This window comes from Homo sapiens, chromosome 11, assembly GCF_000001405.40.
Source record: "Homo sapiens chromosome 11, GRCh38.p14 Primary Assembly".
Classification (NCBI taxonomy): Eukaryota; Metazoa; Chordata; class Mammalia; order Primates; family Hominidae; genus Homo; species Homo sapiens.
Genome location: NC_000011.10, coordinates 13,317,808 through 13,343,253, shown reverse-complemented (window position 1 = coordinate 13,343,253; position 25,446 = coordinate 13,317,808). Strand labels below are relative to the sequence as shown.

At 45.0% G+C, this 25,446-nt stretch overlaps 1 protein-coding gene across 47 annotated transcripts in view, besides 3 other annotated features; it reads right to left on the bottom strand.

The window, feature by feature from the left end:
* The window catches only part of BMAL1 (basic helix-loop-helix ARNT like 1), a 110,615-nt gene that overhangs the window by 44,013 nt on the left and 41,156 nt on the right, over positions 1-25,446 (bottom strand). For 11 of the 47 annotated variants that reach the window (NR_147788.2, NM_001351804.1, NM_001351812.2 and 8 more), the window contains exon 3: positions 16,787-16,841. The exons of 31 other annotated variants lie outside the window; for them this stretch is intronic. The gene's annotated coding sequence lies outside the window, so the exon portion shown is untranslated. Of the gene's footprint in view, positions 1-1,576; positions 1,621-16,786; positions 16,842-21,334; positions 24,683-25,446 lie in introns of those variants that run through there. 5 more of the 47 variants (XM_047426953.1, XM_047426952.1, XM_047426955.1 and 2 more) reach the window with 3 other exon arrangements.
* Positions 1,478-1,978: an enhancer, noted in NCBI's record as "H3K27ac hESC enhancer chr11:13362823-13363323 (GRCh37/hg19 assembly coordinates)". NCBI's record gives its function as "activates a minimal SCP1, AML or CMV promoter by ChIP-STARR-seq in naive H9 embryonic stem cells {active_cell/tissue: H9 hESC(naive)}" and the evidence as "EXISTENCE:reporter gene assay evidence [ECO:0000049][PMID:30033119]".
* Positions 4,821-4,990: an enhancer, noted in NCBI's record as "active region_4463". NCBI's record gives its function as "activates an Ori minimal core promoter by ATAC-STARR-seq in GM12878 lymphoblastoid cells {active_cell/tissue: GM12878}" and the evidence as "EXISTENCE:reporter gene assay evidence [ECO:0000049][PMID:35858748]".
* Positions 9,298-9,592: a silencer, noted in NCBI's record as "tiled region #3016; HepG2 Repressive DNase matched - State 8:EnhW". NCBI's record gives its function as "represses a minimal TATA promoter and a strong SV40 promoter by Sharpr-MPRA in HepG2 cells {active_cell/tissue: HepG2}" and the evidence as "EXISTENCE:reporter gene assay evidence [ECO:0000049][PMID:27701403]".

Here is a 25,446-nt window from a genome sequence, read left to right as displayed (position 1 = left end):
CTGATTCAGAGCATGTTCTCTGATGGGAGATGACGGTCAAGTTTCAAATCCTGACCCCATCATGTATGAGTGCCTAGGGTTCAAATCTTAGGTCCCACATTTACCAGCCGTGTGATGTTGGGCACAACATTTAGCCTGTATGTGTCATTGGTCTCCTGACCTGACCTGTAGGATAAGGATAACATTACCTGCCTCACAGTTGTGGTGAAAAGTAAGTGAGATATATAAAGTGCTCAGAATGGTGTCTGGAGCATAACAAGCCCTCTGTAAGTGTCATTATTATCTTCCCATTAACCATCACAACAGCCTCATAAGACAACTAGCTAATGTTTCATCCCCTGTCTTACAGATAAGGAAACTAAGTTTGAGAGAGTAAGTAACTTGATCAAGATCAGAGATTTTGTATAATGGGAAAGCAGATTTAAACACAGGCCAGTCCCATCTAAAGCCCATACTCCTTCCACTGTACAGCACAGCCTCCATGCAATCTAAGAAATGGGCACAGTCCAGAGGGTGCAGGGATTTACAAATTCTTCAAAAAACACTTCCCAAAGTTCTGCCATGGAACACTAATCCCATAGGATTGTAATGATGTTATTCGGGGGAAAAAATCAGGGGCCAAATACGTATAGGGAATGCTGGTTCAATAGTTAGGTTTTTCTTCTGCAGGGCTTCTTGGACCTTTAAACGCAGCCCTGTGGAGGGTGAAAGTCTAAGGGCAGCAGAGTCTGAGTCCCAAGTGTATGCATCCACACACCATTTATCACCTCACATCTAACAGCCAAGGGTTCCATGGGGCACACTAGGGGAACCATGCCCTGCAAGGCCATTCAGGATTAAAAGTCCCCTCCTGTATGACCCTCCCCTCCCCCTGCTGATTTCCTCACCAGAAGATGCTTATTTCCCAGGCTCTTGGCTCCTCTGAAAGCAGCCCAGGCTCTGAGGTTCATGTCCCACTTTTTCTTATGAGTGGTCTCTGGCCACTTCCTTTGCCCAGTGCGTGCTCACTGGCCTGGCACTGTCCTCTGCCCCTCACGCAGACCCCATGCATTCTGTCCCAGAACCAGGAATTTTTTGCAAGAGTTTTCCCCCAGCCTAGACCCCAGAGATGCTCTGCTTTACCTGGAGGACCACATGGGATCTGAAGCCACAAAGATCTCCCAGGTGCTGCCTCTCCCCAGGCAGGGTCCAGGCCTTGTTCCCCTCTGCACTCCGGCACCCAGCACTCAACATCTGGGGGCAAGGCTGGGGGCGATATGTGCTCTGTCTGCCACACCCCTCCTGCCCTGCCACTTCCACTCTGGGGACCAGGCTGGCGAGGCCAAAGCTCTCTTCCTGACCCTTGGCCTTGACATGCCCCTGCATTCAAAGAGGGCACAGGGTGCAATCCCTGATGGAAGCAAGAAGGATCAATGAGTCATGCTCAAGGACCAGCTAAATGAAGGTGCATCAGCCTGGCTCCTGTTTCTTTTCATTGTTTTCTTGCCTGTCTTTGTCTTTAATTGCTACAGAATAAGAGGAGAGAGCCTGGTTCTACAGACTCAGGGAGTAATACTCCTTTCACCAAAAAACTTACTGCCTGAAGTTGAAGAAAATTCTGGAAAACATCTGCATCTTGTTCTAAAGGAAACAAAAGAATGCACTGCTGTTATCTGGTGGCAAAGGGAGAGAGGCCAGTGTGAGGGAGGGTGGAGTTAGGATGGAGCACCTGAAAGGTGCTTGTGTTTCTGGCTAGGGCTTAGGGGATGCCAACAAGACAGGCTGGGCCAGGCAGCAGGGGCTGGACTCAGGGCAGGCCGAGACGCAGTGAAGAAAGCCACATGCCTTCTTTGAGAATGTGGGGGGAATGGGAAGAACATTCAACAGCAGAGAAAAGGAATATTATAGGATCTTGGATGGAATGGCCTGCACCTTTCACCACAATAAAGAGCAAGGCCAACTACAAAGTGGGGTGGTGGGACCCCAGGACAGGCAGGAAGGGATCCGTGGGACAGGAAGCCTGCAGAGCATCAGAGCCTCCTGGCAAGGCCAGGCAGTGGGCGTGTCTCCAGAGCAGGCTGGCCAGGCGTGGGACCTTCCTGGCAGAAGAGGAAGCAAGTGGCAGCAGAAGAAGAGGCTGAGGGTTCTCCCCTAGGTACCAGACAGGCAGGACAAGGTGGGTTTTGACAATAGAGTGAGGGGATTCTGGGTGCCCGAGGAGAGGCAGGGCAGGATGGTGGTCAGGGCGGGGCCTCTTGGGTTCCAATCCCAGCCCTGCCACTTACTAGCTGCATGTCCTAGGCAAGTTAGGTGACTTCCAGGAGCTAGAGATGCCTCATCTGTGAAAGGGGTGGATTCCCCGCACTGGGTTGTTGTGCAGACCACATGAGTTGAATAGAAGAAAACACCTAGCATGCTCAGTGGCGTCCACTATGGCCATGGAAGTGGATGGCCTTGTGCTGGTTGAAAAGGGAGAAGGCTGGGAAAAGTGATGTCAGGAGATGCAAACTCAGGTTGAAATCCTGGGGATACAAGAACTCAGAGATGGTGAGAGCAGGGGTGGCAAGAGGACATGAAGGAACTTAAAGCTGGAGAGATCCAGGACATTGACCCCTGGGAACGAGGAGGGAGTTGAGGAGAGTGGCTGCAGGGAAGGCTACAGGTATCCTGGGGGTGGGTCTGGAAGGCATTCCAGAGCGCAGCATTTCATAGCAGGAAGCATTGAGGACTCCAAAGAATCTGAAAAGTGAATAGAGTTTTAAGAGTCCAACCGCTTTGTTTTAATATAAAACAGAGAGACAACTCCTCCTGTGAGAAGCTTGGACTAGGACAATGAGAAAGGTCAGTGGGATATGAATAACAGAATTTTGGAGCTGCTCAGGGAGATAAGATGTAGAAAGCAAGGACAATGATTTCCTTAGGGAGACGAAGCCCACAGGAGGAAAAGCGGAACCCAGCAGGGTGACAGCTGCTGCTGAGGGGTGGGCTGCCCCAGGGATTCTGGGGTGACATAGTAGCATCAGCTAAGGATGCTGGGGGCATCTCTTATGTCCCACCCAGCACAGGGTTTGGTTGACTGGCAAGGAGGCCTCAGACGGCTACCACTGCCCCAAAGCCTTGAGGCAATCCAACACAGTTTATTGAGAACCCACATATGCCAGGTAATTTCTTCAGTGAAAGAATTGGTAATTTGAGTAAATTTCCACCACAAACTGCTTGTAGTAGCCAAATTTCAATTCGGGACAATTTTGTAATAACGAAGACACTGTTGGCATGCTGGCCCACGATCACTTATTAGTCTCTCAACAAATATTTACTGAGGGCATCCAAGTGCCAGGCACTGTTCTCCATGGCAGTGCTGCAGATGGGGGTAGGGATATAAAAATCCTTGTCCTCATCTGGCACACCTCCTGGTGAGGAAGGCAAGCAAACGAAACAAGTAAGTTATGTCGGGTGCTGGATGGCAGTAAGTGCTCGGGAGGAAAGTCAGAGATGGGGAGGAGGCAGACCACAGGAGGGAGGCAGTTAGAAAGGCCCCAAGGAGGCTGGACAGGAGGAGGTGAGAGGTGACAGATGTGTTCCAGGCAGAGGACAGCTAGTGAACAGGGCCGCAGGGAGCTGCCCAGTGCTAGGGGACCAGCGACCTGGGGCATGCTAGGGAGAGGAGACAGCTAAGGAAGGTAGGGGTGCAGTCAGAGGGCCAGGTGTGGGGGCCTGCAGACCCCAGTAAGGATCTTGGCCTTGACTCTGAGTAAAATGGGGAGTGACATGATCCCTCTTAGGTTTTAAGTCTGGCTGCAGTGGTGAGAAGATACCATGTGTGTGTGTGTGTGTGTGTGTGTGTAAAAGCAGGGCAGGAAGCTGAGTTAGGAGACGGCTACAACAGTCCGGGGAAGAGATGCTATGACTCAGCCCTCTGTATTAGGTGTGGGGGTGATGAGAAGCAGCTGGATTCTAGACATATTTCCAGGGGCTGTGCTGATCAATGGGATGTGAGGTGTAAGAGGAGTCAGTCTGAGTGGCCACGGCAGGGTGACAAAAAGTCAACTCTTGCTATGTTCTGAGAAGTTGATTCTTGGTATGCTCTAAAGGAAAAGCCAATGGGTTTCCTGACGGTCTAGACATGGGGGTGACTCCCAGTCCATGAACTGCACAAAGGCCCCCAGCCAAGGGGGCAGCTAGGGCTGCAAAGCCACTTGCCAGGTACATGCCCCATGTGACAGCTGGAGGAAGAGGTCCCTGTACACCATCCACCCATCCAGGGAGGAGCTGCTGGTTTGGGACATGTTCAGTGTGGGATGCCTATGAGATGTCTAGGTGACACCACAGGCCCTGTTGCTGTGAGTGGAGGTGAAACAGAGCAGTCACCTGCCACCCCCACAACTCTGAACACTGACCACGTCCCGTTTACTGAGCATCAAACACGTGCCTAGGATGGTTCCTGCCCTGACGTGTCTCCTTTGGTCCTCGTAACGACCTTTTGGGGGAGGCATCGACATCACATAGAAGATGACACTGAGGCTCAGAGAGGTATGGCAACTTGTCCAAGATCACACAGCTGAGAAGGGCTAGAGCAGGGACTGGAACCCAGATATGCCCACCTCCAGGCTGGGACTCTGCACATGCTCTATTGCTTCAGTGACTCAGCAAATAAAAGCAACAGCTCTGTCCCAAGTAGGAGAAAGAGGGCAGGGCAGGCTCATACCCATCCCTCCTCCCACCTACGGGGCAAGGATATCAAAAACCAGTAACAAGGACATGAATAACCAATGGGCTGGGGGAATGGCACATCTGTTCAATGGGTTAACTAAAAGTTAGCCAGGTGATCCTTTCTGTTTAAACGTGAACAACTGAAAACCTTTCTAAAATGCACTTGTCCATTTGCCTGGCAAGTGCACTTGGAGGAAGATGATGTAATCTATAACGAGTCTCGGGATCTTCCCAGCCCTAGATCTAAAATGTTCGTCTGAATGTATCCTGCCTGACCCCAGAAATAACTCTACAAATTCCTCTTAATGAAAATGAAATCGGCTTGTTTTTTTTCCTTCATTTGTCTCCTTCTGGCAAGAAGAATTTAAAAAAAAAACCCACAAACTTCAGTGATTTCAGTTTCATTTTTCTGAGCTTTGGATATAGTGAGTATCATGTGTCTGTGGGTCTGAACAGGCATGAGTCGTACAGCTCAAGGTCATTTTTCTGAGAAAATACTCAGTGCAGGAATCACAACAAAAATAACAACACAAAAACTATTGGCAGAAACCACACACCAGGCTTTTTTTTCATGCTAGTCAGTGTTGTTTCGTTTAGTTCTCAAAGAAGAACTAATTAATTGTGAGAGGGGTCAGATAAATTGCCTGAAATCCCTCAGCTCACAAGTAGGAAAGCCAGGGTTCAAACCCAGCTCTGTCTGACTCCAAAGCTCTGTGACAACTGAAGCAATACTACCTTTTCTGAGTTAAAACAAAACAAAATCTCTTATAAATCAATAAAAAGGCAAATACCTCAGTGGAAAACTAAGCAGAGACTATGAATAGGAAACCCCAAAAGATGAAACACAAAGACCAGTAAGTATACAAAAACATGCTCAATCTCATAACCGTCAAAATTTAATAGATAATATGCCACTTTCACTGCTCATATTAGCAAAGATTCTATTTAAAGATAATACCAGTATTAGTGAAGATGTGGTAAATGGGCAGGTCAGTACACTGTATATCTGAATATAAACTGATATATCTTTTGACAAAGTAATTTCATGCCTAAATTAAATTTTATGTTTAAGAACATCATCTCTTACATAGTACTCTTTTAATAGATATGCACTGGCATCTGTTAATATATCAATAGATATAAATAGATATACATTTAATAAATTTTCATTTAATTAGTATTCATTAGTGAACTGATATACATTGATATACATTGGTGAAAAAGGGTACAAACGTATATACACAATATTTCCCAGTCTTCTTATGTGTCTATAGAAAAAAGACAAAAAAAAATTCACCAGAATATTAAGACATCTCCAACTGGTGAGATGGGTCAGTTTTGTTTTAACGTTATAATTTCTCAATTTTCCATCTTTTTCTATATTGGACATGAATTATTTATATAATAAAATTTCATAAACACAGAAAGGACTGAAAGGAAACAAACCAAAATGCTGATAGTAGCTATCTTTGTGGGCTGAGATAATGGGTAGTGATTTTCATCTTTCAATTTCTCTACCTGTTTCAAACTTTCTCTTATGAGGTTGTGTTACTTTGAACTAAGCAGAACTATAAAACTTAGTAGTAAGTATTCAGATTTTCTGTAACTATATCAATATCATAGAAAAGATTTCAACTAGTTTCCAGATAGGAGTAACAAAGGACAGGGAAATCACACACCAGCTACCCTAGATGAAAGCCTTGGGAAATTTCCAACAGCGAGTGTTAAGGGACCAAAAGCTTACTGCCAGCCCACACATGACCACCAAGGCAGCATCTGACACTGGCACATTCACAGTTCGTGTTTGCCTTTTAGGTGTCGTGTTCAGTTCTGAACGCCTGGCTATCCATGGCATCAACCCAACAGGCACACAACACTGCTGCTCAGTACAGTCAGTGCTGGGCAGCATATTCCCTAGTGACGGTTGCTCTCTCCTGGGGATCCTCCTGGATGTCAGACCCTCGTGGTCCAACTGGAGAGCCCTCAGGTTTCAGGACAGGTAGAGGCCCAGGCTTGAGGCAGGAAGCTTCTGGTAGACTGACTTCAACCCACCCAACTTGGCCTACAAGTTGCCCCCACGAGAAGCCTCATTACCTCCTTGACTTTCCCTTGGACCTGCCCACAGCTCCCAGAGTCAGTCTGACTCAGGCCGAGGTGCAGGCAGAGGCCACAAAACAATCAAAACAAACTTAGTAAAGAGTGGGGAGCCTGGCTGGCTTTTCTTTCTTTAAAAGTCTATATGGGGACGCTTTTAAATATATATATGCACAGGTGGGAGGAGTGAAAAAAATAGAGATTGCAAAAATGAAAAAATATGACAATGGAAACTGTTTCAGGCTCTTTTAGGATCATATACTTTCTAAAAGGGACAGGGGAAACATCAAAACACCTCATTTCTCTGACAATGAATGCAGTTAAAAATTTGGACTTCTACTACATATCCTTATGTAAAAGGACATTTCTAGGAGCTATGAAACCATTTCTTTTCATTTAAAGTCTGTCTTAGGATTTTTCTAGCTAATTTGTAAGCATGTGCATGCATGCACGCACACACACTCTCTCTCTCTTGCTCTTTCATATTGTCAAAAATGCAATAAAAATATTTTAAATATGTCTTTAGCTCTCTTGAAATCTGTAAGTAATATAACCTTACAACACTTATAATTCCAAAAATAATCAATATAATGCCCTAACTGTAATACAAAGAAGAAAGGAAATATAGTTAAAAATAAGACAACATGTAAATCAATATGTAAGTATTGGGGCACCGCTACACCAGAAAACATCATGAAAGATATATGAAATGCTTGCACCTATTCATAACAAATAGGTAAATCTTATATACTTGGTAGCTGTGTTCGCAGAAAATTCAGTATATATTAAAAACATGCAAAAATTATTTGTGTTTATGTGTTAATTGGAGTCAGACTCTAGGCCCAGATAATTTTAAGCAGGGTTTTGCCCACAAGAATGCACTGAGCATTAGGCAGCTATGCAGATGTTGGGCAATCTTTTGTTCCCCAAGCATTATATCTAGCACCCCTGCCTTCCCCTCTTCCCCCAGTAAAAGCCTCGTCTGGGTCACTGTGACATCCAGATCACCCACACACATTCCCACGATGTCCTATAGGGGGCGCGAAGTACCCATTCAGAACCAGTAGCATTTCTACAGACAAAAAGAGGCAGAGAGGTTAGCTATTTACCCAAAACAACAGACAAAACCCAACAGCAGACAGGACTAGAATAAGAGAAGGAATAGACAGCGGAGGAAGAAGGAAGTTATTATTCTCATATTTATGTTTCTTCACTGCTAGACATCATGCCAAGGACTGTTATGTCCATGCAGAATCTCATCTAATCCTCCTGTCAATCTTCCAGGTTAGTAGTATTATCATCCCCATTTTTCAGATAAAGATATTACCTTTCAGGGAGGTGAGGTAACTCTCATAGCCCTATTTTTGGTAGAACCAGATTTTATCCAGTGCTTTTTACATTGCTTCAAGCTGCTCCCCTCCAGGTCTCTGAGTCGATGCCCGAGGGTCCCTCACTTTGCTGCTTAAATCTCTGGAAAATAGTGACCGGAATGCGTGCTATCTGGAAAGCAACTCACAAAGAGAAAGATGGTTCAATCCCAGCATCTCAGCCCTTCTGGCCCTGTCAGTGTATGGCTGTGGCCAGAAAAGCCCAGGCATCCCAGAGCACAGGAAGCAAAGACTCTGGATGAAGTCATGGGCCATCTTTCTCTAGACTCCTGGAAGAGCCTGGCTAGAGGCACCAGGGATCATTTCAGGAGAATGTGTATTTGGCACCTACATCCCAGTTTTGGATGGTAGGTGGTCATCACATCCTTCCACCCCCGTAACTGCTGGAGTTGTTCTCTGAGACTGAATATTGGATTAGGCACTTGAAGAGATGACCCAGTTTTGCAATTCTTAGGTACCTCTCTCCTTCTACTTTCTGGCCATAAAACCATGACTAAGCACTTTAAACAAGAAACCTATTGCTCAGGCACCATGTTCAGGAAAAAAAAAAAAAACATCAAGAGCCCTGTATTTGTCACCTTGATCTAAAGCTACCATTTTATGAACCCTGTGGGGCCTGGCAGAGCTACAGGATGAACCCATTTGTTGGGGACAGTGCAGATGCCTCTGCCCTGCAGTCTGTTCTGTCAAAACAAACTCTGAAGGTTTCACAGAAAATGGTTCAACTAAGGCTCCTGTCTAATGATTTCTTGCAAAATAAGTTAAAGCAGGGCCAGCCCAAGTCTAGTGCACCATGGGCTTATTTTTGGCACTATGCAGGAAAGGCTGTAAGATAGTCTTGCACCACAACTAAGAGCACGGGCTCTGGAGTCACACTGCCTAGCCCCAAATCTCTGCTCTGCTGCTTGACTGCATGGCTCGGGACAAGATGTGAGCCCTCGTTCCTTAGTTGCCTCATTGGTAAAATGAGGATGATGACAGGGCTCACCTCATATGGTGATTTTGAGTCATAAATAAGACAATTCACGTACGGAGCTTAGAACAGTGCCTGGCCCATGGCAAGCACTCTCTGGATACATGTTACCTTTACTGGGATTAATACTGACTGCCATGCCATAGAAAGAATGGCTGAAGGCACTGGAGAACATAAACCTTGTGGAGGGAGATAGAGTGGGTGGAGAGGGAAAGGATGTGGGTCCATGAGCACTACCTTCAAACTTCTAAGCTGGAATTGTGCCATGCCTACCGACCTTTGTTCTGTGTTGCCACAAAAAGCAGAACTAGGTCACTAAGGAAACACTGCCAAAAGGCAGATCTGCGGTCAGAATAAAGGAGGATTTTTAAGAGCCAAAGATGTCCATAAAGCAGGAGCAGGATGCCTGGTGCGGAGATGTCCGACTGGGGCTAGGGAACTGCCTGTCATGGGCAGCCACTGCGCAGATGGGATCCTCCTGCACTGGCGGGTGGTTAGAGGAAGTGACCCCTTATGCCCCTGCCCACTGGACCATTCTGTCACTTTGAAAATGAGTAAATAAGTGCTGATAGCCAGGGTGTGGCTGATCAGCCCGAAGGAAGGAGGATGGACTTTGCACCAGTCTTAACATACACAACCTTCAAAACTTTTACTTAATGCTCTCAGAACCACATCTGGTGGTGGCAGTGGTGACAGGAATGACCAGTAATGGCTCAAAGAACCAAAAGTGTTTCTGGAACACCTGCTGGTGCCAGACAATAATTCAGGGAATGTGTAAAATGACAGGGCTGTGACAACAAGCTATCAACATTTTCTTACTCTGGACGATTTAAAGACAGTATTGGCCGGGCGCAGTGGATCACGCCTGTAATCCCAGCACTTTGGGAGGCCGAGGTGAGCAGATCACCCGAGGTCAGGAGTTCGAGACCAGCCTGGCCAACATGGCAAAACCCCGTCTCTACTAAAAATCCAAAAATTAGCTGGGTGTGGTGGCATGTACCTGTAATCCCAGCTACTTGGGAGACTGAGGCAGGAGAATCACTTGAACCCAGCAGGCAGAGGCTGCAATGAGCTGAGATCACGCCACTGCACTCCAGCCTGGGCGACAGACTGAGACTCTCTCTCTCAAAGAAAAAAAAAAAAAAAAGACAGTATCGATGACTAATGCCATTACCTGGGGGCACACAATATAGAGTGATCAAGTCTGCCAACTCCATGGGCTATGACCGTGACAGGAAGCCTGGGGTCATTCCAGTTCGCAGGCTACTTCCCAGACTCCTCTCAGGCAAAGGTTTTAGTGTTCTTCAGCACCTCCTTACCACCGACCCACCCACACAACCCCTTGACCTGGATCTTACTCAAGTCAGTCTCCTGGCCGAGTCACACACAGGAAAAGTTGCTAGAACACAGTGAAATGTTCAAGAGCAAGAAATAAGAGAGAGAAAGAGGAGAATCTGCCTTTTGAAAATTGGTTCAGAGCTGGGGCAGCCTCCATCATGAAATAGTGTTAACTTTATTAACTACAGAAATAATTTTAAAACTAGAAACTATTTTACCAACAAGAAAAATTGCTAGCTTGTACTGAAATTATAATCCAGATCCAAGAAAAAAATGAAATTTCCAAACTAAAGCTCATCAGCCATTTTCCAAGTATTTCCTGTGCACTTGTTACTGCAAATTTATATGTTCTCAACTCTGAGAACTCGAAAGCAGGTAAGTGGCTGTAGGTATCAAAGATTAGGAAAAACAAATATGTGTAGGTGACCTTGGGGACATTCTGTGTACAAACTAATTGTTTGCTATCTGACAACACCTGGCACCATGTTTGAGAACCACTGTCCAGTCTGGCTAGGAACTCCCTGGGCAGGAAGATCAACCATCTCTTCTCAGAAAGAATGGATTCAATAACCCAAGGGCTTCAGCTTTGGATCCCAGCTGCTGGATCTGCCCACAGCCCTGATTCCTCCCTCCCCACCTCTGACCTTCTCTGTAGTAGGTGGTTCACATCCTAGCATGTCACTGTCTTTTACTCTCTGGTTGGTTGTCTGTCTGTAGCCAAATCCTAGTACGTCTTCCTCATCCGTAATCACTCCCCGTCGCTTGTTCCTCTCCATGCTAGCCGCTACAGCCTTAGTTTAGGCCCAGACCAACCCCGCCCGGCCTCTTCGCATCCTCTAAAACCGCTGGCCTTTGGTATCCCAACAGGTGACTTCTCCAGAGGCTTTCACAGTTTGCCCTCCCTAGCAAAGTTTTCCCTACGTCCCTCTGCCCCTTCCAGCCTCAGAAAGAGAAGTAACTCCCCAAAGCCCACTCCGGCTTAGGCACTGTGCCTGACATGCAGCCCAGGGCAAGAAAGAGATAGAGGTTCACCACACAGGCTGGCACCAGTCCACTGATATTGGCTACCAGAATGCTACTCAAAGATACAGAGGCTCAGAAAAAACCCACCATGATCAGTTATTATTCTTCTACCAGGGGTGGGGCCAGAGCATTGGGAACATAGCACTCATGCCACCCACTTGCTTTCCCAGAAAAGGGCAGGGTACTCCAGGGAACTTGGGATTGCCTGTCTCTGGCCTGTGCCCTGGTCCTATGCTCCCTTTCGTATTCCTATGAAATCACCTCAACAATCCATTCCCAGGGCTCCTCCAAAGTTGCAATACTTATCTTCACTGCCTCCTACCACCCACCACTGCATCATACTTACCTTCCCACTAACACATGGCAAATGTACTGCACCTTTTTCCATTAGAAAACTTCATAGCATCTCTATAAGCTTTTCCCAAGTGGGTCAGAGAGCAACTGATGTTACCTTTGCTTTGCTATCCAAATAGATTCCAAAATTCCCCACTCTCATTTTCTCTACCACTCAACTAATCTGTTATATACACATATCTTGGTCTGCTTATGCATGGGCTGATTGTTTGGCCATCTTCGTGCCTGTGTCTTCTAAGACTGTGAACCCCTGAAGGGTATCTGTTTAATACAGTAGCTCCAGTGAGCACAGCAGGGCACTGTCAAGAGAAGCACAGAGACTGCCGCCCCAGCCCACCTCTGCCATGACTCTTAATGGGACCCTAGGCAAGTCACTCCCTTGCCTAGGCCTCTGCTTCCCCACCTACAATGAGATATACTTAAAACTAGTGTCTCTCTGAAGGCCCACCTTGTAGCTCTAGTACACTACGACAACACAGGCAAAAAAGCACTGGGTTTATGTCTCTTCATGACTACGTGAGCAATAATCACTCAGGTTTAGGCTCAGCGAGATATCACAATACTGCGCCTTTGAGTGGCACAGAACTGCCATTGCAATGTGTGAAAACTCTAAAGTGGCTATTTAGTGCAATGGGATGGATGTTTGTGCAGCTAAGTATAATGGACAATGAAGAATGATTTTATCTCCTTTTGAGAACATAAGTATACTATTCTATATTTATCCCTCCCATCTCCTAATTTAGACAGGGAAGAACTTTTTCTGATCAGCACCCACTTGCCAATAATTTCGCTCTACATCTAAATGGAGAACAGGAGTCATATAAGTTCACAGATTGAATGGATGGTTGATTTACGAAGCCCTTGAAATGTGGCTGCAGGCCGATGCTGGCAACCCCATAATTAGATATGGCATGCTCTGCAATGATGTATTTTTTAACTGTTTTTTAATAACTCAGTTCTCCTTCTGGGATGAGGAGAAAAATGGAATTTGTTAAAAATAAATCGAGATTTTAGTGGCTTTTCAGCCTTCTGCTGCTTGTTGCTCAAAATATTCTATAAATAAGAGAAGCCCTGCCCTATAGTGCACTGTAAACACCCACAGACACTCACAGCCAAATTCTTCCAATTATGACCCTGTGCCTGTTGCCAAGCTACTGCAAGGACCTACTTGAAAGGCGGCCATCTAGGCCATTTCCTGATTAAGCTGCCCTGTAGCAAGGAATCAAGGCCTGCTGCTTTGGCATTGTATCTAGTCTCAAATAATTACTCCGTGTTCCTGAAATTAAGCCCTTTCCTTGTGATAGAATTACAATTCAGAGGTAAGTGAAAGGCTAACCACTCACCCATCTGTCCGTCTGCCTAAGTCGTGTGTGCATTTAAGACCCTGAGCTGTCACATGTTAGACTTTATTTAAATCAGGTAGCAGAAGTGCACTCACAACAGCATCTTTAATTGCACTGAGCAAATCAAGGTCAAACAAAAGGAGGTCAACTATCGACATGACAGGTGAGTCAGATGCAGCCTGCCTTTCTGTTCAGTGGCTTCCTGACTCATCAGTTTGGATCACCGTTGCCCAGCCCAGCAGGCTGAAATGGTCATTTAAAAATCCGTACCGTACCCCAAGAAGGCAATGCAGTTATGTCAGGTGTAGGGCTTACTGCTCTGCCGTTCAAATGCCAGTGTGTGAGTTGGAACTGCCCCGACCTCTGGGCTTCCACGCAGCCTCAACAAGCCATTGAAGAACTGCATGCAGAGAATCAGGAGATGACAGTGTGCCACATTCTCGCTGAGAGAAACTACTTCCAGCTCCTTAGAAACCAGAATGTTCAAAGCAGCAATGGAGCAAAATGGGCTCTGGCTGGAAACTAATCACCCCCCACCTCCCACCATGAGGTTTTCATGTCAGCCCAACTGGGTGAGTGTTCAAGAGAAGTGTCGTCCATATTGGCCCTGAGACCTTCAAAAGGTCCTGTGACATGGCTCCTGCCCCAGGAACTCACTCTCTAAATGGGAAGCCCATTAATGAACAAGAGAACTAATATGTGGTCAGATTTTCCAAACTCAAAATTGAGACCTATATACTTGGAGGGGCAGTGTTTTTAAAAGTAGGAGTCCTGGAAAACTTGGGACCGGGGGGGTCACAAAGCATTGAGCTCTTCAGGGAGGGTTCTGCTGGCCATCCGACGTAAAGGGGTCCTTCCTGTGACTCTCATGCTACCCCTGGGTTCTAATTTCTTAATAACTGAAGTGATCTTGTGTTCTTGTGCCTCCTCTGATTAGAATGTGAGCACCATGAGAGCGGAGACCCTCTCTGTCTTGCTCTTGACTGGTTCCATATCAACTAGAACAGTGACCAGCTCTTAGTAGGTACTCAATTCATATTAACTGAAAAAAAGCAAATACACACCAGACTCTCAGAAAACCATTATTTATACCAATCTCCTTCAATCCCTACAGCAGTATTATGAGGTAAAATAATTAGATCTCCCATTCAATGAGAAAAATCAAGGCTCAGAGAGGGCGTGTGTTTTGCCCAGGGCTGCATCTAATAAGTGATAGAAGTGGAATTCAAAACCAGGTATGGAGCATTATGATCCTCCCTTTGTAATGAGTGTCTATTATTTTGTATAATTTAGAAAAAGCAAAAATGAAAACTCTGGAGGAAAAACTGCTCATCAGAAACAGCTTTATATCAACTAATCTTATCTGTGATGAATTCAGTTCTGGCACCCAAAATCCAAGTTCCATTTCCATCTACAGAGGACACTGGCAGCATAGCTACAGCAGGAGAAAGGATTCTGGGGCCTTCCTTATGAAAGGATTCTGTTCCTTTCTTTCTGCGGGGCCTCAAAAGCCAGGCAGGGAGTGGAGGGGCCATCGGCACCAGTGATCATCATGCCTACGGCTGCTGGATGTGGCAGGCTTGCTCCACGGTTCACTGGAAATGTTCCAAAGAGAGGCTCATAAGCAAGTCTGAGGTCGAAGAGTTAAAGTGTTTGGAATCTGCCTTCTCCCAAACCCATACCTTAAAACTTGGAAGGAAAAAAAACAAGCATTTTTTTAAAGACTGAAATTTCAAAAATGTTTAAAATGAAAAGTAGAGATTTACACTTACCTGAATTGAGAATATTAAACCCTGCTGAAGCTAAGTTTATCCCCCCTTTTAGTCTATAACTCATAATAAAATTCCTACTAGTCTGATGTTTTGGGCCAAAAAAAAGCCTCTCCAGTCGATCCTCTAGATGCAGGCCATGGCTTGTGTTTATGTGCAAATCAGCAGGTACATCTCATCAAAATGGCCAGGCCAGTTCTCATGTGTGAATACGTATCTCAGATATGGGAAATAAATGCAAATAGCACATAGTATCAATGAAACAGGTATAGTGTTGCCAAATTGCCCAACAACCCTTAAATACAAACACCCTGCAGAAACATGACACCCTTCATGGCTGTGAATGTGGAGTAGCACAATGACAAAAGAGCACATAGCCTTCCAGATCAACTTCAGGGAAAACGTCTCATGAAAAATGCTGGGCTTGTATTTGTCTTGTCGTTTATTTTTTTGAGAGAGTCTATAAATTTCTTCAGACTCACAAAGTGATCTGTGACCCCAAAAGACTAGGACTGCTCACCAACCCTTTCTGTTGCCACTCTTGTTTCATTTAGACAATGCTGCTAACACAAACAACTATACAGGAAGCCCTTTCACAGTAAACACGATGATGGTAACAATCAGAAAAAATTGTCCAAGCTCTTACACAGACGATTCAGCCACCGGAAACTGTTCAGTCAATGACAGAAAAGAGGTCAGTAGCTCAAAGGGACTGGAAAACTGCTGTGCCTTAGCTTGAGCCCACTGCCCAGACAGGGACAAATGGCACAACCAGAAAAGCGCAAGGAAGCAAACTTAGGGGCTAGAAAGTTTGGGACAGGTGAACTTGGGAGCAACAGGAGAAAAAAACACAATCTTTGGAGCCAGGCAGGGCCTCACCTACAGACTCAATCTGTGGCTTTGGGATGATGATGATGATAACAGCATCTGCGATGAGCTATTATTTGCTGACAGCACAATGTCCGGCGCATAGTAGGCACGTACTTAATGTACTTAGGAAATTACATGTTATTTCATTTAATTTTTATTTTTCTTAATTTTTTTTTTTCATAAAAGAGAAGTGGTCTTGCTATGTTGCCCAGGCTGGCCTTGAATTCCTGGCCTCAAGTGACCTCCCACCTCAGCCTCTCAAAGTGCTGGGATTACATGAGTGAACCGCTATGGGCTGGGCGCAGTGGCTCACACCTGTAATCCCAGCACTTTGGGAGGCTGAGGGGGGTGGATCACGAGGTCAGGAGATCGAGACCATCCTGGCTAACACGGTGAAACCCCGTCTCTACTAAAAATACAACAAAATTAGCCGGGCGTGGTGGCGGGCGCCTGTAGTCCCAGCTACTCGGGAGGCTGAGGCAGGAGACTGGCGTGAACCCGGGAAGCAGAGCTTGCAGTGAGCCGAGATCGCACCACTGCACTCCAGCCTGGGCGACAGAGCGAGACTCTGTCTCAAAAAAACAAAACAAAACAAAACAACAGTGAGCCACTATGTCTGGTCATTTCATTTAATTTTTATCACAACTCTGTATTATCTTCATAATATAGAAGATATATATATATATAATACCTATATAATCTTCTATATTATCTCTCTATATATTATCTTTATCTTCTAAATGTGAAAAAGGTTAAAAAAATTAAGTAGCATGCCCAAGGTCCCCAGCTAGTTGAGAATCAATCCAGGGTCTGTTTGGCTGTAAGCCCATACTCTTAACTACTAAGCAGTGGCAAGCTTCAGCTTCCTCATCTGTAAAAAGAAGATTATAATCCTTACATCCCCGAAGTGGTAAGGATTAGAGAGAATGCATGTGAAGTGCTTACCACAGTGCCCGGCACACAGGAAGCCCTCTAGCGTAGATTCCTATGACATCGGAACCTTTGGAAGGGAGAGGAGAGGTAGGAGGTGAGAATCCAGCTATACAGATGGTACAGCATTTCACTTTGAAGGGCCTGACAAGCAGGATTAGGAATTCTGGACCAGGCTTAAAAGACTGGGATGAGGCTGGTCCGAAGGTAGTGAGTTATCTCCATTGATAGTTCAGTCTGTAACAGATCAAACTCCTTGTTCTACTCTTTTTTTTTTTTTTAGACAGAGTCTTGCTCTGTTGCCAGGCTGGAGTGCGGTGGCATGATATCGGCTCAACTGCAACCTCTGCCTCCCGGGTTCAAACAATTCTCCTGCCTCAGCCTCCCGAGTAGCTGGGACTACAGGCGTGTGCCACCACACCCAGCTAATTTTTGTATTTTTAGTAGACACAGGGTTTCATCATGTTGGCCAGGATGGTATCAATCTCCTGACCTCATGATCCACCCACCTCAGCCTCCCACAGTGCTGGGATTACAGATGTGAGCCACCGCCCCCGGCCCCTTGTTCTACTCTTTCCCCGCTTCTCACTACTGCACTTGACTAGTATGAAAAAATAAAAAATAAAAAAATACAATAAAATTTAAAAGGCTGGGATGACATACTCTCAGGGACACAGAGGGGACACACCTCATCAAGATGGGAAATAATGTGCTTACTCAGAGATGAAAAGGTTTTCATCAAAATTTGGAGAGGGTTGAATTTTTGAAAGAAGGAATCATTCAAGCCCACACACACACACACACACACACACACACACACACACAAAAGGTCTCAAAAGGCAGCACCAGACAGCATGGCTACGCCTGGGCCAGGAATGTGTGCCTGCTGCCGGTCTGCCTCCCTGAGACCCAAGGACGGCAAAGGCTCCTGTTCGTGTTTGTAAGAAGGGAGATGCTGGAACCCCAGTTATCTGTAAACCCCACCTGGAACTTGAGCACAGTCTAGGTATTCTTTAAACAAAAAAAAAGAAAAAAAAAGAAAAGAAAAAAAGCAGCATTTGTCAGATCAGAATCAAATAAGGTGAAATGTACCCACTGCGAGAAAAGAACCAATGACTTAGTGTGGCTTGGAGTATGCAAAGATCAATGGATCCATCTGCATGAAGAAGACTCCCACTCACTGACACCACCATCTTGACTATTCTCTTATTAAAAAATGGAACAGGGGAGGCTGCGGAGCAGCAGAGTCACTCCCCAGAGAGCCAATGCCACTACAGAGAACATGCATCCCAGGGCTTAGGTTTTCTTGGTGAGAAAAACACCACAGAGTGTCAACAGTCTCTCCCTGGACCAGTTCGTCCCCTCCTGCTTTTCTTATAAAGGAATCACTATACCAAGTTATCCCAATAGAAATCAAAGACACTCAAAGATCTTCAGGTCCTGTCATCTGTCCCCTCTTCTCCATCCCCACAGCTCTAGCACAACACTCAGCATCAATTTCCTGGACGATTTTCACAGCCGCTAAAGTAATTCTGCTGCCTCCCTCCTACAGTCCAGCCCCCACACTGCCACCAGCTGGCTTTCTAAAATAAAAGTGCTGACCACGTCACTCACCTCCTGAAAGATGTCTACTAGATTTGCACTGCCTATGAAATAAACTCCAAAGTCTTCGCTTGCATGCAGGCATGCATTAACTCAGTCATTTGTCCATCCACCCACCTCGTGTTTCAGGATCACCCACTGTGTGCCAGGCTCTGTTTTAGGCCCTAGAGTGCTGAATGCAATAGATAAGACCAGGTCCCATCTTCATGGATTTATATTCTTGTGGGGTAAGACAAACACTAAATAAGAAGACAAACAAACATATCATATAAAGTCAGAGAGTGATGAGTGCTAATGAGAGAAACCAAAGCGAGGTAGGACAGAATGGTTGAAGCAGCGGGGAGAGGGGGCAGAACGGTGCTTTTTCAGACAGGTGGGAGAACACTTGAATAGAGGCCAGCGTGGAGTGAAGGTGAGACAGGCGGTGTCTGGGGAAGAGCAGCTCAGGCGGAGGACAGCAAGTGCAAAGCCCATGAGACAACAGGGGGAACAGTAAGAAAAGATGCGGCAGCTGAAATGGAGTGAGCAGAGAGTGCCAAGGGATGAGACCAGAGAAGATGAGCAGGAGGGGCTGGCAGGCCAAGGCGAGATGTTTAGATTCCATTCCAAAGATGCCAGAAAGCCGCTGGAGAGTTTAGAGCAGGGAAATGACACAAATTTGCTTTTTAAAAGACCTCTTTGCCTATGTAGCAAACTGACAAGAGACCTGCTGAAAGACAGTGGAGGTTTGAACGAGGGTAGAGCAGTGGTCTGGCCTGCTTGGTTGATAAAGAAACAAACTAATAATAAGGAGCAGTGGTGGCTTCCAGGACATACAGTAAGAGTTGTCAAGAACTGCAATGTTTGAAATGACAGATATGTTAATTATTCTGATCTGGTTACTACAGATTATATGTATTGAAACATCACTATGTACCCCATAAATATGTACAATTATTATGTGTTAATTAAAAATAAATAAATTGGCCAGGTGCAGTGGCTCATGCCTATAATCCCAGCACTTTGGGAGGCCAAGGCGGGTGGATCACTTGAGGTCAGGAGTTTGAGACCAGCCTGGCCAACATGGTGATACCCCATCTCTACTGAAAATACAAAAATTAGCCAGGAGTGGTAGCGCACGACTGTAATCCCAGCTACTCGGGAGGCTGAGGCACGAGAATTTCTCAAACCCGGGAGGCGGAGGTTGCAGTGAGCCAAGATGATACCATTGCACTCCAGCCTGGATGACAAAGCAAGACTCAGTCTCAATAAATAAATAATTTTTAAAACCAGTAAAACAAACAAAAAAAGAATTGCAAACAGATGATGTGAAGAACACAGGAGGAAGCAGAATCAAAGATGATGCCCACATTTTAGGCCTGGGTAGCCAGGTAAAAATGATGGGGACCTCATAACATGGGGAAGACTGAGGAGGAGCAAGGCTAGTTTTTTGTTTGTTTTTGAAGGAACAAATCAAGACTTCTGTTTAGTTATGTTAGGTCTGGGAAGACCACTACACTTCAACATGCAGCTAGCTGCTGAATGGGCAGTGGGTATGGGAGTTGGGGGCTCAGGAAGACAATCTGGGCTGGTTACAAAGATTTGGGGCTTGCCAATATATGGGTGACTGCCAAGATGTAGCCACTTAGGTCCTCCACCTCTTGGCTCCAGCTCCAGACATGCACCCAGTGTGTCACCTCCTACCAGGGCTCTAGCCTCTGCCCTGTGCTCCTTCTGCCTGGGCCCTTCCTACTTCTACAGCTGACAGACTCCTTCCTACTCATCTTTTAAGACTTGCTCACAACGGCTGGGTGCAGTGGCTCATGTCTATAATCCCAGCACTTTAGGAGGCCAAGGTGGGAGGATCACTGGAGGCCAGGAGTTCAAGATCAGCCTGGGCAACATGGCTAGACGCTGTCTCTACAAAAAATTAAAAAAAAAAAAATCAGACAGGCAAGTGGCACATACCTGTAGTTCCAGCTACTTGGGAGGCTGAAGCAGGAAGATCCCTTGAAGCCCAAGATTTCAAAGTTGCAGTGAGCTAGGATCATGCCACTGCACTCCAGCCTGGGTGACAGAGCAAGACCCTCTCTCAAAAAAAAAAAAAAAAAAAAAAAAAAAAAGACTTGCTCACAAGTCACCTCTTCTCTATGAGGTCTTCCAAGAGAGAACCTGTGTCATCCTCTCTTCTCCCACAGCATCTACTGCATACCTTGGTGACAGGACAAACCCATGTGTCACTTTATGTATTTACACCTTTCCTCCCTGTAAGCTTCTTGAGGTCAGTGACTCTATTTCTCTCCAAATCCCTTCACCTAACATAAGGCCTGGGCATGACGGACATTTGCTAAATGAATGGAGTTTTCCTCTTTGCAAAGAAATGCAAAAGAAATTATATAAATGCAAACTGATTCACACTGCAGCTTCTGTCTGCAAGGGGGAAAAAAGTGAAAAAATAAGGTGCTGTCATTGAAGCACTAATAAAGCTCAATGGGGTAGAAGAGTATCTTCCTTTGAGGAGTTTCTTAACAAAAAAGAGCTTCAAGAAATCTAAGAGTTGAGTATCTCAGGGTGTTGCGAGGTATAATGAACATTGTACCTAATGAAGGTGTTTTGGTTTCAACTGCAGAAACACCCAGTTAGTCTAAAACCAGTGCACTCAGGAGTTGGAGACAGAAGGAAGGAAGCCGACGTTCCTTCTCATTCAATCTGGACAGTGATCCTGGGAAGCAGGTCCTCTTAGCCCTCCTTCGTAGACAAGAACAAGCATCAGGGAGTCAGGTGATTAGCCCGAGGTCACAGAGCTGGGAAGTACAGGAGCCAGGATGCTCACTCAGGCCTGCCCAACACCAACGCTGAGATCCTTCCAGCCTCACATGGTGATAACAGGTTCATGCAGTAGGCAGGGTCCCTAGGACCACCCGAACCCCAGACTGCACCAAGGACACAATCTAGTAGTTCTGGAGAGGGAATATTATTTACCCATAATGACTGAGGAGTTACCAGCAGAACCGAAGCTGGAATCTAAGTTTCTGATTCCCAGGCCAGGCTCTCAGGGCACTGTGTATTCTTTCACATAGTCTTTAAAGGAGAGAGACAAAGCAAAAAATGAAAAGTTAACAATCTAATCTACCTGCTTACAAGTACCTTAGAAATAAAAGTTGAGAGGAAAGGGAAATTGTGTTTTTTGTCAATTATGACTGATGTGTGACCCTGGGGCCCCACTAATAGGTAGGAAAGTACCTGAGCAGCTGTCATTGCCCCATGTGGGTTACAAAACCAGCAGCACAAATCAAACTGACCGGCACGTGGCAGGCAGTGTTCTCATATGTTCAGACAAACATCTGCTGTCCACCTACTATGAGCAGGACCCCAAGCAAGGCAGCAAAGAGGGAGAAAAAGACCCTGGAGGTGAACTGTGGCTTTCCCACTCACTACATGTATAATATTCAGTATATTAACCTACCTAAGCCTCAGTTTCTTCATCCATAAGAAAGAACGGGCAGCCCATTTCACAAAGCTGCTCTGACATTCTGGGGACTAAGTGAAATGGCACATGTGCTTGGTATACAGGAGTCACGCAGTAAACATCAAATGGTTGGTAGTTTGTTCATTGATGGGCAACCCAAAAGAACTTATATCTACCGTAGAAAAAGGAATGCAAAAAAAACCCCAGCTACACCAAAGTTCTTGTAAAATCTCAGTAGGGTGAACTGGTATCCTCTGAGGACTTACTAAAGTATAAAGAAATTCTTTAAGAAATTTTCAGTGGCTGAGTATTTCAAGGCAGGGCTGGAGGAAAGGCAGAGTGAAGGGAAAAGGGAAGAGAAAAAGAGAGGAGCTGAATTTGAATATATCAGTGCATTGGCAAGGCCAAAAGAAGTCAACATGTACATAAAAAACAATGTAACTTTATCTCTAGTGGATACAGCCGTATATTTATTATTTATGGTCTATCTTCTCTGTCGAACTCCTGTTGAACCTTCAATACCCCACCTACTTTTCCACCCCACCCACCTAGAAGGTTAATTAATCTTTCCTCTATTAATCAGTTCCTATTACTGGACACACTATTTGCTTGTTAGGCTCCCATATCAAATACTAAGCTCCTGAGAATACACATTGTTCATGATTCATCTCTGGGTTTACATGGTAGCCTTCCTCTTACTCCAGGATCCTCAGCCAGTAGCCACCAACTTGGAGCATCCCCAACGAACTTTCTCTCTACAGCAGGAAGATAAGAGAGGACTCATATTTATACACTGTTTATTTTGTGCTGAACATCTGAGAGGCACCTGACAAATATTAATTCGTATATCCTTCAAAATACCCCTGGGAAAGAATTACTGTCCCTACTTTGTAGAAGGAGACACTGATGCTCAAAGAGGTGAGGTCATCAGCCAAAGGGTCACACTGTTAGTAAATGTGATGATGTCAGGATTTGAACCCAGGTCTGTCTGGCTCCAAGTGCCTCTTACCACTATGCCAGACTGCCCAGCATGGGTCTGATGAAGCTGAGGGCACCCTCAAAGGATAAATGGCCTGGGTATCAAGTCTACTCAGACTCATAAAAGTGAGGTTAGTGCTAAGAAGTCAACAAAGGGTAAACTGTTTGCAAATGCCAGATACCAGCTCAGAGCCAGAGAGGAGAGCTAGAGAAGGCAGAATTCAAAATTTCACATGCAGTTAGCAGGTGGTAAGCTGACCTGTCCTTCTAAGAAGAAGCCTTGAGATACAGCCTGGACCAAGAGTTCACAACTACCTGTGATCAGTTAAGGCCCCTGGCTGAGAATTTGCAGATCCTTCCCAAATGCTAAGGTTTCAAACCTTCGTAAACATGAGCCTAAATGTTAGCACTCCTGTGAGAAATCTATGAACAAAAGTGACCACCAGAAGTCTTGGACCATCACTTCCCTTTGCTTTCCTCATCTAGCTCAGTAAAGGAAACAGCCATGGGGTGTTGTAGGCAAAAACTTTGTCTCAGCCTCACAGCAGTCACTTGCCATCTCCCACTCCCCAGGTCTCTGGGGCCCAAGGCCTGGCACTCCCTGGCAGGGCCCCTTCAAATGCTGACCCAGCCTCAGTATTAATGGCTCAGCCCTTGGTGGGAAAGACAAGCCAGCCTGGCAGAGCTGTGGAAAAGGAAGCTGTGATTTGGCTGTAATTCTTCCAAAGGCTACCTGGCACAACTGATATCCTTAATAATTATTTAATAATTGTGTACAGTATTTAGGGAACTTTTTGTCACCTTGCAGGATGATAACCACCATCAAAGTCAAGATATAAAAATCATATAATTAAATCTACAGACATATATTCTGAATGCTTTTCTAAGATAAACGTGTAATTTTGATGGCATTATTTGTGAGGCTTTTAAGATTTACTTTCTTACACATGTGTAAGCAAAAACTAGATTAGCAAAGCCATAATGGGATGCTCCTAGGAAGAGCATGAATTGGTACAGCCTTTTTGGAGGGTAATTTGGCATTATGGATTCAAATTTTAAACAGCAAACCATTTAAACCAAAAGTCCTACTTCTATGTATCTATACCAAAGAAAATCTCAGGCAAAAGTTCACACGTGTGCACAAAAATTTCCACAGCAGCAATGACTGCAATGGCAAAAGGTCAGAAACAACCTGAGTGTCTATCAATACAAAACGAAATTTACTTAACATACAACCATAACATGGAGTACAACTTTTAAAAGTAACAAGTACATTTATCTGTACATATGGACTTGGAAAAATAACCATAATAATTGACAGCTGTAAAAAGAAAGTTGCAGAACACCATGCACAGGGACAGTCTATCTTTAGAAAACAAAAGGGAAAGTATCTATGTCGTGGTTGAGGGCAAAGGGTAGGGGTGGAGAGAAACAAGCAAATGCAAAAGTCCAGGAGTATAAGAAGCAAACTCTCAAAAGTGCTTATGTTTGGGGAATGGTTGGAAAAGGTTGGGGGAGGTCACAGAAGATTTTGTTGCTTATGTTAAAGCACTTCAGTGTTGTCTGAATTTATCACAAGTGTTTATTACTTTTGTGATGACAAAAACAAAAAAGTTTTTAAAAGCTCATAAAATAATAATTTAAAAAAATTTTGGTATTTGCAAGGGCCCCCCTCCCCTAGAGTGACCACCATTGGAAGCTAAGTCTCCTCTCCACCCTCCAGATGTGGCCACAGTGCTCAGAGTGCACTAGCTAGAAGGAGGCACAGACTCATCTGAGGAAAGACTCCAGAAGGCAATGGTCTCAAGTTCTGAGAAGCTCAAAACCCTTGCCTATTTCAACAAAGACTCTGCCAAAGGTCAACTATTTAATTATTTTATTCTGAAAAAAAAAAAAAAAAAAAAAAAAAACTAAGTGTCTTTTATTTTTCAAATTTACAACACCATAAATTGTTGAATTAAAGCAGTTCACTTGATTGCAACCCCCCTTCAATAGCAGCTATAGAAATTTATATCCTGCATTATTTAAAATTTTATGTTGCTATATAAGCCTTGCTGAACACTTTTTAAAAATTGTTAATGAGGAAATCCCACAGAGAGGAGAGAAGGTAATTCTATTAAATCCAAAAGAGCCTAAAATACTATTATAGCCATTTGGGCTATCATAAGAATGACAACTTAGCAAGTAAAATATCCTTCCTACCTATGGTCACAGTTGCTAGTGGAAATAATTCTAAACTGATACACAGTATCTAAGGGGTATTAGTTATATTAAGCAGAGACTACAAACTCTATTCCTACAGGGGCCAAGCAGGCCATGGAAAGGTACAGTGAGGCTGGGCCAGCCGGAGGCAGGCTGGAGAAACAAGCTCCCAGGGGAGGGACCACCACTCTTCCGCACTGCCACAAGGAAGACGGGCCCAGGCCCACTAGACCTTTGATTTTTTATGAAGAGCTGGAAATCTGGATTTTGATTCAAAAATCTACCCATTTTTAAATGTTGGCCACTAATTTAAACATCTTAAAACACTATGAGTGCTGAACAAAACACATCTGCAAGCCAGATGCAGCCAGGGGGTAGACAGTTTTCAACCTCTGCCTGAAAGTATCTACGTATTTTTTAAATGGCTAATTTGGCTCACTTTTAT